We start from the raw sequence: 16,443 nt of genomic DNA, 5'->3' as shown, positions 1-16,443 counted from the left end.
CCTGAGAGCATGGACTATGGCTATTTTTTTCAAGGCTCTATTTCACAGAGTTTAGAATAGGACCAAACACATAGTGGGCCCTCAATAAAAGTTTGTTGAAGGGAGTGAGAGCAGGAAAAACTATGTTAAGGGCTTGGCTGAGAGCCTAGCACATAATAAGGCTTGATACACGTTAATTATAATTATTACTTTCTTTGGAGTTATTATTCACATTCTCACTGCACTGCAATATTTTGATAGGTTTATTTGAAACTGTGTCTAAGAATAAACATAAAACTTCTGAAAGACTCCAGCTACTCCCTTTGTTTTCTCATATGGATTACTTCTGTTGTTGAATATCTCTGGAACGTGTTCAGTGTGAAGCTGGCTTCTGCACCCCTCCCAGCTTCTTTGCCAGCCTATTGGTAAAACTTCTTCCTTGCTGTCAATTGATAGTTACTGAGTCTCAAAGAACAACATACTGGGGCAAAGTAGCCTGAGCAAAATACTGTTAAATTTATGAAAAACAAGGAAAATGCTAACAGGCCTGCCATTTTCAATAAAATGCTTTAAGTGTGCTGATTAGACTCACATACTCCTACTCCCCTTTTGGGGTGACTATATAATGGGTTTATTAAGAACATTGGCTTTAGGTTGGAACTTGGAGTCTTACTCCATTCTGGCTGTGTGACTTTGGATATGTTCCTCAGTCTCCTTAAGTCTTGGTTTCCTCACTTGTAATAGCAGTGCTTATTTCTCAGTATTGTCAAGAAGAACCCCCAGGATAGTACATATAAAGCTCTTGGCACCAACTCTAGCTCAGATAGTGGCCATTGATACTAGAACTTCATAAACACCAGTGATTGAGAATGAATATGTGTCAGTTTTATGTTGCCACAGTTCTGCTCAGTGCTTTGAACCACCACAATCTGGCCAATAAAATCAATCATTCAGAAACTAATATCTGCTCTCAGCAAAAGTCAGGGAGAACATATTTTTGTGATCATTGAATGAATGTCTTCGAAATCACCAGCATTGAATATGGAGCCAGATTAATATTGGAGCCTCAACTCTGTTTCCTATTTGCAGTCCTACTTAAGACGAGTCACAGGTACCCTAAGCCCTTAGTACTTCAAATTTAAAGTTCAGTGGAGTTTATTTTTAAAATCCTCTTGGAAAAATATATGGGCAAAATCCTGCTTTCCTTCATAAGGAGAGATTTATTTTGCCCATATTTGTTAGCTCTCTGGTAGAGTACAAAAAGAGGGGCAAGACAGCAGTTTATTCAAACAGAAGTCAACTGATTGAAAATACACTAATAATTCCATTATTTAAGAAAGACCCTGTCTGCAGGAAATCCCTACCAACAAGGAATATCATCACATCAAAAGCTAAAACAGGACTAAAGTACACATACAATAGCTTTGCAAATTTTACAAATACAGCTGTGTCGGGTCCCAAGATCATTCTGATACGTCTTCAAAACACATGGATTGAAGGCGTGGATCTTGTTTAAGATCATTTAAGACCTTATTTACGATCTTGTTTAAGATCTAGACATTGAGAAGTGTGTAGCTTTCCATGGGTCACCGACTTCGTGGTGAAGTGCGTGCTTTTCTCAACCTCTTCTTAACTCAGTTGGTTTTTATCTGAGAAAACCTAGGGATTCAGCCACACAAGCAGAACTCTAGAGGAAATTGAAGTAACAATACGTATGGTTATAAGTACTTGGCGTATGTCCTGCCCGATTTCTTCCAAGACCCTCTTATTTTTCATTCATGCACTTTGTAAATAATTAAGGGAGGTATCTAATGAGAAAAGGTATTGCATTCACTGCCTGTCCTTCAGTTATTTCAGATTTAACTGTGTGGTGTGTTCATATCACATCATTCAAGCGGGCCTTGAGGGACATCTGACCTAGTTGAGCAGCTGTACCTTTAATAAAACTGCCAAAATAAGTATGACATTTTTTATACAACTGTGAGAAACACATTAAAGACACATTGAAGATTACTTATATTTTATTATTATATTTAGAACATGAATGACTGTGACTAGACAGCTTGATTTCATGATGAGGATGATGATGACAAGGATGAGGGCAATGATAATGATTATCGTAATAGTACCTAACATTTTGGCATACTTACCATGTGCCAAAGACAGAGCTACAACATCACATATTATCTCATTTAATCTTTATAATAGTCATGCAGTTACTATTAGTATACTTGTCTTACAGACAAACTGAGGCTTAGACAAGCCAAGCTATTGTCCAAAGTTCACAATAGATTCAAAATTCAAACTTAAGCAGTCTGATTCCAAAATGAAGACCCTTAATCACTATATCCATGGTTTCCAAGCTATTTTGAACACACATCCTATCAGTAAAACATTTTGAGGATACCCTCTTCTTTGTACTCATTTATTAATAATTAGTATTATGCTAATATACTATGGAAAATATAGATAAAAGTGTACATTTAAAAGGGCGAGTCATAGATAAAATAATGTTTTGGTTGTATTTATCAATGGTATGATAAATACATTGATTTATTTATGTTTTCACTCATGAAAATAAAGTAAAATAATATTTTAATCAAAAATATGCTTGAATATGCTTCAGTATTTTTGAAAATTTTTGTTTCACGCTTTCTGAATTAGTAACTTAAAGGAAAAGTTCTGGGGCTTTTGGTTTTTTGCATGTGTGTGTGAGACAGGATCTTGCTCTGTCACCCAGGCTGGAGTGCAGTGGTGCGATCTTGGCTCACTACAACCTCCGCCTCCTGGACTCAAGTGATCCTCCTGCCTCAGCCTCCCACGTAGGTGGGACCACAGGTGCATGCAACCATGCCCGGCTAATTTTTTATATTTTTGGTAGAGACAGGTTTTCGCCATATTGCTCAGACTAGTCTCTAACTCCGGAGATCAAGCGATCCTCCTGCCTCAGCCTCCCAAAGTGTTGAGATTACAGACATGAGCCACTATGCCCGGCTTGAGGTTTTTTAAAAAAATACTTGATCATAACTGAAAAAGATGCCTCAGAAATATCCTTAGATTCAAATGAAAGACAGGCATTGCTTGGCTGCACCAAGATATCTGTGTTTCAATTCTACCCACCAACTACTCCAGGATTTTTTAAAAATCTGCTAGCAAATTGCTGTCTTTTCTAGTGTCGATCTCTTGTTATTATTCAATAAATGTTTCATCTTTACATTTTTTTGAAAATTTCTTTAAAACTTACTAAAATTCTTAGTTCAAAACCTCTGAGAGCAGATTAATTAAGTTTATAAGATGATTTACAATACTTTAGGAAGATGTTTGTGTGTGTGTGTGCACATGTGCATGTGTGTGTGTTTGGTAGGGACAGGTTCTCACTCTGTCACCCAGGCTGAAGTGCAGTGGCATGATCATAGCTCACTTTAACCTCGAACTCCTGAGTTCAAGCTCTTATCCTACTTTAGCCTCCTACTTCAGTAGCTGGGACTACAGGCATGTGACACCATACCTAGCTAATGTATTTATTTTTTTAGAGATAGGGTCTTGCTATGTTGCCCTGGCTGCTCTTGAACTCCTGACCTTAAGCAATCTCCCTGCCTCAGCCTCCCAAAATGCTGGAATTACCATTAGAGATTTTTATAAGCATGTCAAATATATGGGTACATCCTCACATCACACACTAGAAGAGTCATTTCCAAAAAGAGTTTCTACTTTTAAATTGCTTTCTGCATAACATCCTTTTTTTCACTGATTAACAAGAAAATAACTTTATTTTTATTTATTTTTATTTTATTTTGAGCAGAGTCTTGCTCTGTCCCCCAGGCTGGAATGCAGTGGCACAATCTCGGCTCACTGCAACCTCTGCCTCCCACGTTCAAGCGATTCTTGTGCCTCAGCCTCCTGAGTAGCTGGGAATACAGGCATGCACCACCATGCCCAGCTAATTTTTGTATTTTTAGTAGAGACGGGGTTTCACCACGATGGCCAGTCTGGTTTTGAACTCCTGGCCTCAAATGATCCGCCTGTCTCAGCCTCCCAAAATGCTGGAATTACAGGCTTGAGTCACCATTCCTGGCCCTTTTTTTTTTTTTTTCTTTTTGAAAAGAGTTTTTCTTTGTGTCCTAGATGCTTGGTTTTTTATGTCTTACTAATTATGATGGTTTCAAGCTATCATTAGCTAACATCTCAAGACACAGTATGCACAGGTCATGGTTCAGTGTTGATAAAGATCCATATATCAAATATTTTTCCTATTTGCACTGGGAAAGGCTGATCTTGAGAGATTTGAAGAACTCATCTGTTGTAACCTCCTAATATGGCCAGTGAGAAATAAGCAGTGTTGATTCTGCCATTTTGCTACTCACTGTGCTTACTTTCTTATCATCAGCTTACTCACCTTGAGCAGGTATGGGAGCAGGGAAGCTGATGGGTCTTTAACAGTATCACATTACATTCTTTCAGTCTTGGGAATGACCAGAGATCTCACCATTATGTACTGGGTGAGTAATGCAGTTCTATAAGAAGGTTACTTTGGTATCAACAACAACAACAAAAACGATGGATGGCAAAGCAAGGCTCAAGGTGTATGACATTCAAAAAGCAGCTTTTCAAAATGTTTGCAGTGTGGCACAAACAAATGAAACTCTCACAGTGCTAGGAGGTTGAGATGAAACATGATCATGGTGGGAAAGTTACATTGCTATAAATAGACCTGGTCACTGGCATTCCCTGCCTTTGACCCCGCCACCACTCCCACCAGAGTTATATCACTCACTAACTTTTAAAAACACTCTAAATTATGAAAATATCAAACATATATACATATAAACAGGTAGAGAGGTTAGTTTAACTAACCCTCTTGTACCCATCATCCAACTTGTTAATGATCACTTCATGGTTAATCTCTTTCATGTGTGCTCCCTATGCTCCTGAAATGAATTATTTTAAAGCATGTTCCAGGCATAACATTATATTTATAGATATTATAATATGAATCTCCAAAATATAAAGATCTGTTTTTCAAACATAACCCACCGTACCATTATTACACCTGAAACCCTAACAGTAACTCTTTAATATCCTCAAATATTCAGTCAGTTTACAACTTCCTTAAAGATCTCACAAATATTTTCTAGTTCACTCATTCAAATCAGGTTCCAAATGAGCTGCATACATTGCAATGGATTGATATGGCCCTTGTGTATCTTTTAATCTATAGAATTTCTCTCTCCCTATTTTTTTTTTTTGTTTTTGCTTGCATTCTTTACTTGAAGATACTAGATCATTTTTCTTGGAGAGTTTCCCACAATGTGGATTTTGCTGGTTACACCCGTTGGTATTATTTAACATAGTTCTCTCCATTCCCCATAAATTGGTAATAGGATCCAGTGATTATCACATTAATATTTGATTCTTCTACAAGAATACTTCAGAGGCAGTATTTGTACTTCCATCAGTAGACACATAATAAATAGTTCTCTCTCTTTGGGGACTGTTAATATCCATCAGTGACAATTGCCTACATCTGTTATTTTATTGGGAGTTGCAACAGGGTGAAGAGTATCATTCTATTTTTCATGTATTAGCTGGAAAAAGCCTATAAAGAGAAAATTTTTCTCATGAATTATTTATTTAGTCTGAGATGCAATTCATATGGTATGCACAAACACACACAAAAAGCTTGATACTTATGTTATCAAAATAATGTATTGGTACCTTAACATCCTTGGAAGGTGATCATTTATATATTTGGTTTTATGAGTAATGTTACGATTTAAATAATTTGACATCACATACTGTGTAGCCATTATTTTTACACATTCTTAAACCATCTATGGCCAGTGAGAGCCTCCTTTAATTGGTTTCTGTGTCCTTTTTAAATAGAATCCCAGCAGTCTTTGATAGCTTCCTTAATTTCCGGTAAGATAAGCGTCATCATGTACATTTCATGCTTAAGACAGGAAATCAGCCATTGCTCCAAGGAACCCTGGTTAAGTTTCATAGGAAATGGTATTCAGAGGTCACACTCTAGACATCATTTCATTTTAAGCTTTGCTTTGTTTTCCATTTTTGTAATGTAAGTGTGCATGTGTGCATTCACACGTGTATGCATTTGTGTGTATTTCTCTCCTTCTCTCAGATAAATAATACCATGCTATACATGTGTTTCTCCACCTCATATTTTTAAATTAACAATATCCAATGGAGTTCATTCTATAACAGTATCTAAAGCTATTCTCAACTCCTTTTATACTTGTACAGTACTTGAGCGTGTGGAGACAAAATTGTTATTTAACCAGTCCCCAGTAACAGACATTTGCTATTATAAGTAATACTTTAACAAACAGTCTTACATATATATCTTTTTTAACTTGCCTCCCCTAACTTTATAATTGTGTCTAACAGGTTAAGAAAATTGCTTAAGGTCTCACAACTAATAAATGCTGAGCCGGAATTCAAGTCCCACATAGTTGTCTAGCTCCAGACCCCAGGAACCCCAATATATATTTGCTGTCTTTCAATTTTCCCAGGACCGCTAACACATCAGACCTGGAATTAGTTCAGTGTAGAGGTACTGCTAACCTGAGGCTCAGATTAATAAAAATAAGAAATAGTCTTGGTTTACCATTACTTGATAAATACAGAGTTTTAGGAAGTTGTCTTTCAGAACTTGGGTCTGTAGAAGGAAACAATAGCAGTTCTTAGTGGTTCAAAAAAAAAAAAAAGTTGAGGTGCACCATTCCCACCTGTGCTTGAAACTAGAGTTTGCCGTTTACTAGGAAACAGAGAGAACACACATCACTGACATTGCTTGCCCAGGTCTCAGACTGATGACTTAGGTCACCTTTGTGCGAGTAAAGCCACACATTTTTAGCGTTTGTTTTCTTTTTGGAACCATAACAATTTTCTGGAGGAATGTAAGATGCTATATTAAAAAATGCTAGACTAGGCCAGGTGCAATGGCTCACGCCTGTAATCCCAGCACTTTCGGAAGCTGAGGCAGGTGGATAACCTGAGGTCAGGAGTTTGAGACCAGCCTGGCCAACATGGCAAAACCCCATCTCTACTAAAAATACAAAAATTAGCCAGGCATGGTGGCGGGCACCTGTAATCCCAGCTACTTGAGAGGCTAAGGTAGGAGAATCGTTTGAACCCAGGAGGCAGAGGTTGCAGTGAGATGAGATCGGGTCACTGCACTCCAGCCTGGGCAACAGAGCAAGACTCCGTCTCAAAAAAAAAAAAAAAAGAAAGAAATGCTACACTATATGCAAAACTCCTAAAATCCCATGCTTATGCACCAAAGATAATTTTCGAGGCCACTTTTCTCTGATCCAGGGTTTAGCCCCCATGTAATCTAATATTTCTGCTCTTTCAATGCTGTACATCTTTTTAGAGAAAGAAATGTGACCATCATTCATGGCCAAATCTGACTCATGAAGCCATTTTGCCCTTTGGTGTCTTCATGAAAAAATGTGAGTCCAAATTTACCTCTTTTAATGACACATTAAGTAAAGTGTTGGGCGTGAACTCATGTCATCCATTGGGCCTCATGATCGTCAACTAGAATGGTAGCTCCAAAAGGGCAAGATCGTTTGCTTTTTAAATTATTACTGACTTTTCAATGCCTAGAACAGTGCTTGGCACATAGTGATGCTTAATAAATAGTTGAACAGGTGGGTGGATGTGTGCATGAGTGGCTCGCTGGCTGGCTGGCTGGATGGATGAATTAGGCCTTCTGAAATTTGAACAGTAAGTCCTGATGTTAAACTTTAGAGAGGCTTCATTAATGCCCACCTTGTACAAAAATTACCAGAAGGGGGAAATGTCTTTTTTCCCCCCTGGTATTTCTTTTCTGTCTCCCACCTTTGAATATCTTCTCCTTTCCACATATGTTTTTAACCAACATTCCAGAATGATGCGTCTGTCCTTCCAAACCTTCACCAAAAATCCAGATCTCTCAGGAGAGCAGATGTCAACTGAGTGTGGTAAAGGGAGACATTAGGAAATGAGTGACTAGAAATTGATATTTAGCTTTTCATAGAAGCTTCTTAGAACTCAAAAGTCTCAGTCAAATTGTGAGGGCTCTGGGGACCAAATACAAATGAAGAATTTCAGTGAAGCGAAGGCTGTAAGGCCTGCTGTGGTCCTTTATTTTTATTTTTATTTTTTCATAATCAAAGAGACAAGCTTCCAAAGGTGGTCTTTGAGGTGCAAAGACTTGGAATGTGCAGCTTTTGTATCTCCCCTACCATCTTGCCGTCTGCTTGGCTTTGAGTACTGGCTTCCATGGGGCGTCTCAGATCACCTCAGCTGCCATGTGCCCCCACACACAATCGTGGGTGTGTTCTCGCTCCCAGGATTAGTTTTCTCTCTAGCCCTTTGGCCCCTCCCAACAGAACGTAACTTGCTCTTTTCAGAATACTTGTCCCACATTGCTCCCCTGTCCATTTCTGCTTCTGGAGTCTTGGCTGCCCATGCTGGGAGTCACGTGTGTCATTGTCCCTTCTCTGCTGATGTGTCAGAGGCCCAGGAGGCTGATTCAGCGTATCTACTCTTCTCTGGGCTTCACACCCAACTTCAAATCCACTTACTCTTTGAAAGGAGAGGTTTGAAAGGAGGAGTGACTTTTGTATTTCTAAATGGGAGTGTATCCATGGAGTATGCATTCTGACATGGCCTCAAGTTCTTCCTGCTAGTAGATTCACTGCTCTTATATTTGGCAGCAGCCAACTCAGCTGCTAAAGGGCTGGTGGCTTTGTCTGCTGTATGCCTTCAGGGTAGCAAACATTCCTGAGAGAGATTGTGGAGTCTGCCCTAGGACAAGTCTCCTGGTTATGTTTTATGTGAATATAGCAGTACGTGTCCTCTTACCCCAGAAAAACACACCTCCTGCAACACAAGTTTGGTTGCTTATCTGAGTATATCTCATTCATATTAGCAGACAGAATCACAGATAATGAAGCAAATTGTACCCTAATAGTATCAGCCCTAATAGTATCTTTTTAAAAAATAAATGTACGAGTCCTAAGATATAGATAACGACTAACATTTATTGGATAGCACTTTACTGCCAAGCCCTATGATAAGTCCCTTATATATTGTCAAAGTATATTTTTCACAAAGTTAAAAACATGACTCATATAAATATCTAATGAGCTGTTATCAAAGATTTATTTAACTGATTAATGAAGGAACTAGCAAGATGGAAAAGCTGGTTCAAAGAGCAATAAATGATGAGAGATTTTTATAGGCAGCCAGCAAAGGAATGGAAAAATAAGTTTGCTGAGTTATATTCAAAATTGGTTAATGTTCATTAGATCAATAATGCTATAATTTGGGGGATCATCTTTTTTCCACTAGACAGAAATCATTTGCAACTTATCAGTATTCTACAAGTTAATGAATGTCTAGCTTCATAGAGTCTGGACCTAATCAGTAGAAAAAAGTAATTCAAACAAACTTAAGAGTTTTTCTGGAGAATGAGAGGACCTCATTCTCCAAGCTTGTTACACAATGCTCTTCATCACAAACTAGGTGACACATTTATCTTTTATTTTTATTTTCAAGTTTAATTTATAATTTTATTTATTTTTTTGAAATGTGTCTCTGTCACCCAGGCTGGAGTTCAGTGGTGCTGTCATAGGTCACTGCAGCCTCAAGCTTCTGGGCTCAAACAATTCTCCCATCTCAGCCTCCGAAGTAGCTGGGACCACAGTCATGCACCACTATGCCTGGCTAATTTTTTGAAAAAGTTTTGAGGTATGGGATCTTGCTATGTTGCCCAGGCTGTATTTTCAAGTTTTAGATCATTTTTCTATTTGGAAAATACCCCTGAGGCCAGGCACAGTGGCTCACGCCTGTAATCCCAGCATTTTGGGAGGCCAAGGTGGAAACATTGCCTGAGCCCAGGAGTTTGAGACCAGCCTGGAAGAAAAAAAAACCCTATGAAATAAAGTACCATAAACTCTATGTACAAGGGGCTGTGGTAGCCACTAGCCCTCAGTTCAATGATGAATCCCTTCTAAACAAGCAAATACTCTCAATGATGAGAAACTGCATCAAATGACAACCTAATTCATTTTTAAAGAGTTCCAAATAACAGAACTTTATCCTTATGTTATCCCTAAATCTGCTTCACTGTACCATCTACTGTCTCCCAGTTTAGTCTTCTAAAACTGCATTGAAAAATCTAGTTTCCTTCTCACTGAATGCCACTGACATTGTGTTGAGGAGCTTCGTGGAGGTTGGCCAGGTAACCTACATCTTCCTTGGACCTTAGGCTGGAAAACTGGTCACAACTGTAGATGTTATTGATCAGAATGGGGCTTTGGTCGGTGGACCTTGCACTCAGGTAAGGAGACAGCCTATGCCTTTAAAATGCATGCAGCTCACTGATTTCATCCTCAAGTTTCCACACAGTGCCCAGCAGAATTATGTCCCATAAGCCTGGCAGAGGGCAGACAATACAAAATGGGCAGCCACATGATGGGCCAAGAAGATTGAAGCCAGAGAAGGGAAAGCCAAGATGGCAGATTTTGATCATTTTAAAGTCATGAAGGCAAAATGAGGAACAGAATAATCAAGAATGAAATTAAGAAGCTTCAAAAGGCAGCTCTCCTGAAAGTGTCTCCCAAAAAAGCACCTGCTATTAAGAGTGCTGCTGCTAAAGTTCCAGAAAAAAAGATGACCACTGCGGGAAAGAAGGCTGCAACCCAGAAGTTTCCTGCCCAGAAAGCAAAAGGCCAGAAGGCAGTACCTCCTTTGGAAGCTCAGAAGGGTCAAAACACTCCAGCCCAAAAAGCACCAGCTCCAAAGGCATCTAGCAAGAAAGCATAAGAGGTTATTATAATCCCAGCACTTTGGGGGCCGAGGTAGGCGGATCACCTGAGGTCAGAAGTTTGAGACGAGGCTGGCCAACATGGCGAAACCCCATCTCTACTAAAAATATAAACATTAGCCAGGCATGGTGGCATGTGCTTGTAATCCCAGCTACTCAAGAGGCTGAGACAGAATTGCTTGAACCCGGCAGGTGGAGGTTGCAGTGAGCTGAGATCGTGCCACTGGGTGACAGAGCAAGACTCCATCTTAAAAAAAAAAAAAGTAAATGTTCTTTCTGGAAAAGAAAAATCTAGTTTCCATTTCACATGCAGTTACAGAATATTTAACTCATACTAAAGAGAATAGGAAATACCTTTCATCCTTTATAAAAATATACCATAGTTGAGTTCGTTCAGCAAGTGTTTCTTGCAATGGCTCTTAACTTTGGCTTATGTCAGAAATGCTCGTGAAGTTTCTAAACTTGTACATACCTGGGTTTCTATTCCCAGCCATTCTGAGTGAGTGGGTCTGTGGTGGGTGTATAGGCATCAATATTTTCTGTAAGCTTCATGGGTAATGCTGATGCAAGACAGACATTAAAGTTCATGCTGTATATCAATCATATAATAAATACCAAGAGTCAGGGATGAGGGAGTTCAGACTAAAGAGGTATCATTCAGAGGCTGGAAGGAGCCATCAGAGAGAAGTGATCTGAAGTAGCATTTTAATAGACAAATAAGATTTTGCCAAGTGAAGAAAGTGAAGGGAAAATGCAGAAAGGCTTTTAAATAGCATTAATAGCTTAAAAATGCATCAGCGGAGTTACTAAAAAATAGACTTACTAAAAAATGAAATTTGAACAATTGTTAACTAACCACAGGGACAATGATCTCGACATTTCTTGCAACAAAATATTATAAGGGGAAAAAGGAGCTATCTCCAAAGTGATTGCAGTAGTATTCCATGGAGTATCCCCATGTGTTTACCAATACGTGAAATATATAGTTTGTCCATTGATAAGACAAGTGGCGTCACTCAACCTGAGGAAAGTTCAACCTCTCCACTGCTTCCAAAAGGAACCAAAGCTATTTCTCTGTCAGATGGAGCAAGAGTCATTAAATCACTGATGCCTTTAAATTATCAATAATATAAAGTCACAGAGGGAGAATCGAGCCAATGATAAATAGCATTGTAATAAGCCAGAACTCATTTGTGAGTGGAGAAAAGTCTCTGAAACCTCAGTACAATTCAGCCGGCTCATATTGCCGTAAGACATGAGATGATGAAACTCAGAAATACTGATGGCTTTTTACTCTTTCCTGCTTCTGAATATCAGGACAGGCTTGAGTGATAGAATTTTCTGTTCTTCCCTGGGCATGCTTAGGCCTGCATCATGTGTGCTGCTGTATTCGGATCCCTTTGTAGAAGGTCTCCATGTGCACATGTGTGTGTCTCTTTAACTAATACACTTTATTTTTTAGAGGAGTTTTAGGTTTATAAAAAAATTGAGCAGAAAATACAGAAGAGTTCCCGTATACTCCGTATCCCCCTACCTCCAACAGTTTCCCCCATCATTCACATCTTGCATTAGCATGCTCTATTTGTTACAGTTGATGAGCCAATACAGATACATTATTATTAACTAAAGTTCCTAGTTTGCATTAGGGTGTGCACTTGTGTTTTTCATATTTCCTAATTTCAGATCACCTTCACTCTTTGTCCTGTTTTTTCTCTCTGCTATTCTGGATCCTGAATGGCGATTGTTAGAACAACCAGCCAAGGTCTCCACATTCCTCCACATCCCCCAGCAGCCTGAAAAGCGACTGCCAATCACTTGTACCTTCTCTCTCTATTCATGCTGACAGGATAATGTTCTTATCTAAATCAATTTCAGTGAAGCTCATGGTCACAGTTTGTGAATGTTACATTAGCGTCACATATAACCTGTACATAGACTGCATTCAGATATTTTCAGCTTTTTCTCTGGAAATAATTGCTACTGATGAGTTCACTATTAAACCTTATAAGACCCAAGATGGTGTGTGGTGATTTAGTGATTTCATATGTTGCTGTGCTAGTATTTTAATCTGAGCTCCAGCCAAATGGAACAATCTGTCGTTTCATTTTTAATAGTTGTGACTTTGTTTTTGGACTCCTCTGTTGTGCATACTCACACAGCCGCCCCTAATCCTTGTTTTTTGAGTCGGCAGGGTCTAGATTGTAACTGACAAAAGAGATTCTTGCTGTGTCCTCCAAGAAGGTCCCACAGTTTCTCATCTTGTCTTTCCTCACCCATTTTGTACCCTCAACCTGGAATGCCCTCCTCATCTCTCTCTCGCCTTTTCTCCCTACGGCCTTCCTCTTTTCCCAGCTATCCCTGCCTCTGCAAACTGAGATTCTAGATACTATTCAGGGCCCTCCTCTCTTCAAATATCACAGCAAGCCTGAAACATTCTCCTGATTCTATGCTAACCCCCAGAACTCATTCCTATTCCCTGATTCTGCATGCTTTTGTTGTTGTTGTTGTTGTTGTTTTGAGATGGAGTCTCTCTCTGTTGTCCATGCTGGAGTGCAGTGGCGCAATCTCCACTCACTGCAAGCTCCGCCTCCCGGGTTCACGCCATTCTCCTGCCTCAGCCTCCCAAGTAGCTGAGACTACAGGCGCCCGCCACCATGCCCGGCTAATTTTTTGTATTTTTAGTAGAGACGGGGTTTCACCGTGTTAGCCAGGATGGTCTTGATCTCCTGACCTCGTGATCCGCCTGCTTCGGCCCGCCGAAGTGCTGGGATTACAGGCATGAGCCACCGTGCCCGGCCAATTCTGCATGTTCTTAAACCATGTCACTCTCCTATGCAAAACATTTCAATGCTTTCCCACCATTCTTTGAATTAAAGCCCAACTCTTCAGTTTGGCATGCAAGCCCCTGTACTGTGTTCTGTTCTCTGCCTATTATATTCTCATGCTATATTCTCCAAGACTATACCCTAGCACTCTCCTCCTGACTACTACCTTGCTGGTAGTAGATTCACTACTAGCAGATTCATTGATTCACTACAGCAGTGGTTCTGGAAGCATAGTCCACATGACCCTGGAAGTCTGCAAGGTGATTTTCCTAGTAATGCCAAGACATTATATGCTTTTTTCTCACTATGTTAACATTATCAATAATGATGCAAAAGCAATGATGAGGAAGACTGCTGGTACTTTCGCACAAACCAAGGCAGTGGTGCCAAACTGTACTAGTAATCATTATATCTGTCATGGCCATGTACTTCCTGCTTAAAAACGGCCAACTTCACGGAATACTTTCCTTGATGAAACCATAGAAAGTGTTAATTTTATTAAATGTTGATCCTTGGGCACACACCTTTTTAATATTCTATACAGTGAAATGGTAACTATGCATAAAGCACTCAGGCAGCACGAGGAAGGACAACAGTTGTCTCATGGGAAGGGACTTGTCTGATTGAGTTGCCAACTTAACAAGGCTTTTTAAAAAATGGAATATCATTTTTACTTGGAAAAACAATCAACAGACAAATGTAGGTATTTCATAGATGTTTTCTAGAAAGTAAATGGAGGGAGCCTGTTACTTCAAGAAAAACAACTGACAATATTTTTTGCTAATAATAAAATTTGAGATTTCAATCACCACCATAATCTGGACAGTTTCTTAATACCTAAAGATTTTTTTGATATCAGTGGCAATATTAAGTCATATGATTTTTTATGTATTGTGTGATGAAATGTGTGAACATTTGGAAAATTAACATAACTCACTGAATTCATTTTTGATATGACCAATGTATGATTTTTAAAAAATAAAACCACTTACGGGCCAGGCGCAGTGGCTAATGCCTGTAATCCCAGCACTCTCAGAGGCCGAGGCAGGCAGATTGTTTGAGGCCAGGAGTTTGAAACCAGCCTGGCCAACATGGTGAAAACCCATCTCTACTAAAAAAAAAAAATACAAAAATACAAAAATTGGCTGGGCTTGGTGGTGCATGCCTGTAATCCCAGCTACTTGGGAGGCTAAAGTATGAGAATCGCTTGAACCTGGGAGGCAGAGGTTGCAGTGAGCCAAGATCACACCTATGCACTCCAGCCTGAGTGACAGAGTGAGAGACTCTGTCTCAAAAACAAAACAAAACAAAAATTAAAAAAAAAACACTTATGGGTAAAAGATTCATTCAAATAGCAAGACAGATCAATGGGTTTTAATGTAATTGAGTATAAAAAGCTCACTGACATGGTGTCTGATTTTACAGTGCATCTAACTTTCAAGAAAATACCACCACTTGGGCTTTGGTATAGTATCAGGAAGACTATCCCATTTGTCTGAAAAGGCTATTACAATATCTCTCAGTTTTCCAACAACCTATCTGTAGGAGGCCAGATTCTCTTCATATACTTCAACCAAAACGGCATTTCACAACAGATTGAATGCAGAAAAAGAAATGAGGATCTAACTGTCCTCTACTCATCTCTAAAAGATATTTCTTCACTATTATTTTGTTTTGGAAAATATTATTTTCATAAAAGGGTATTATTTCAGTTTAACATATGATGGGTTTGTTATTTTTAATGAGTTAATATTTTAAACTCCTCAGTTTTAGTATCACTATAGTATTTGTTAATAGCTGTAAAACAACTTACATAAACAAAACCTCCTTGCAGTCCTCAGTGATTTTTAAGAGGGGAAAGAGACTTGACATTAAAAAGTATGAGAATGATGGCAACTAGCCAACTAACTCTTAATGAGATCTTTGGCTCTAGAAGTCCTTATTTGACCACATGCCAGAAGAATCCATGTGAGTACTGCCTGAGTACCTCCAAGTTGGAAAAGTACGTTTTTTTTTTTAACTGAGTGCCTCCAAGTTGGAAAAATGTTCTTTTTTTTTAATGTTATCGGGTTCAAGGGTGGAACATTTGTCCTACTAAAGAACACCTTTTAAGAGCTTTGTGGCCGGAAGGGTGAAAAGTAGACCTCCTTCTCCTTCTCTTCTTTTCGTCCCCTTTGATCCTTTTCCTCTTCTCTTTTGATCTTCAATCCAATCTTTAGCCCCAACTCACCTTCTAGATGCATTTTTCCTATTTTTTTCCTCTTCTGCTAGATAATTGTTGGTTGGGACAATCCCATCTTAATCAATGTTCAAATTATGTCTCCATGTTCATTTCCCTGTAGGTCATAGAACTCTTTGTTAGAGTATCATGTGGCCAATTTATAGGTCTTTATTCTTTCTCTTCTGCCCAAAAATAGATCTTTAGGAATAGCATGCTGATTGGTCTATTATTAAATAATTTTAAAATTGACCTCATTTTTTAAAAGTAGTAATTAACTTATATTCAGCTGCTACCCTAAATTTTTTAAAAATGAGCAAGAATTGTTATATATAGAAGAATTTTACATTTTTTCTAAAGAAACACTTTGTAAAATGTGGTAGAGGTATGCAAGAGGATAGAACATATCTAATTTAACAATAGCTACTACATAAAACTACATAAAGCTTATGGTTTTGGATATTATTGCTTAGAAGAAAGTGATTTGATGTAAGTTTAATGCAAAAACAAAAAGTAAATAGTACAGTTAGTACATGGGGAGGACATACTCATGGGAGTATTACTTAAATAATTGAATTATTATT

The 16,443-nt window shown here is 38.7% G+C and overlaps 1 protein-coding gene and 1 pseudogene across 51 annotated transcripts in view; both read left to right on the top strand.

Annotated features, from left to right (window-relative positions):
- Nucleotides 1-16,443, top strand: part of CADPS (calcium dependent secretion activator) — a 477,069-nt gene that overhangs the window by 85,430 nt on the left and 375,196 nt on the right. The window lies entirely within an intron of this gene.
- Nucleotides 10,177-10,828, top strand: RPL14P2 (ribosomal protein L14 pseudogene 2; annotated as a pseudogene).

The sequence above is a fragment of the Homo sapiens genome, chromosome 3, assembly GCF_000001405.40.
Source record: "Homo sapiens chromosome 3, GRCh38.p14 Primary Assembly".
Taxonomy (NCBI): Eukaryota; Metazoa; Chordata; class Mammalia; order Primates; family Hominidae; genus Homo; species Homo sapiens.
This window is presented reverse-complemented; position numbering and strand designations above follow the sequence as displayed.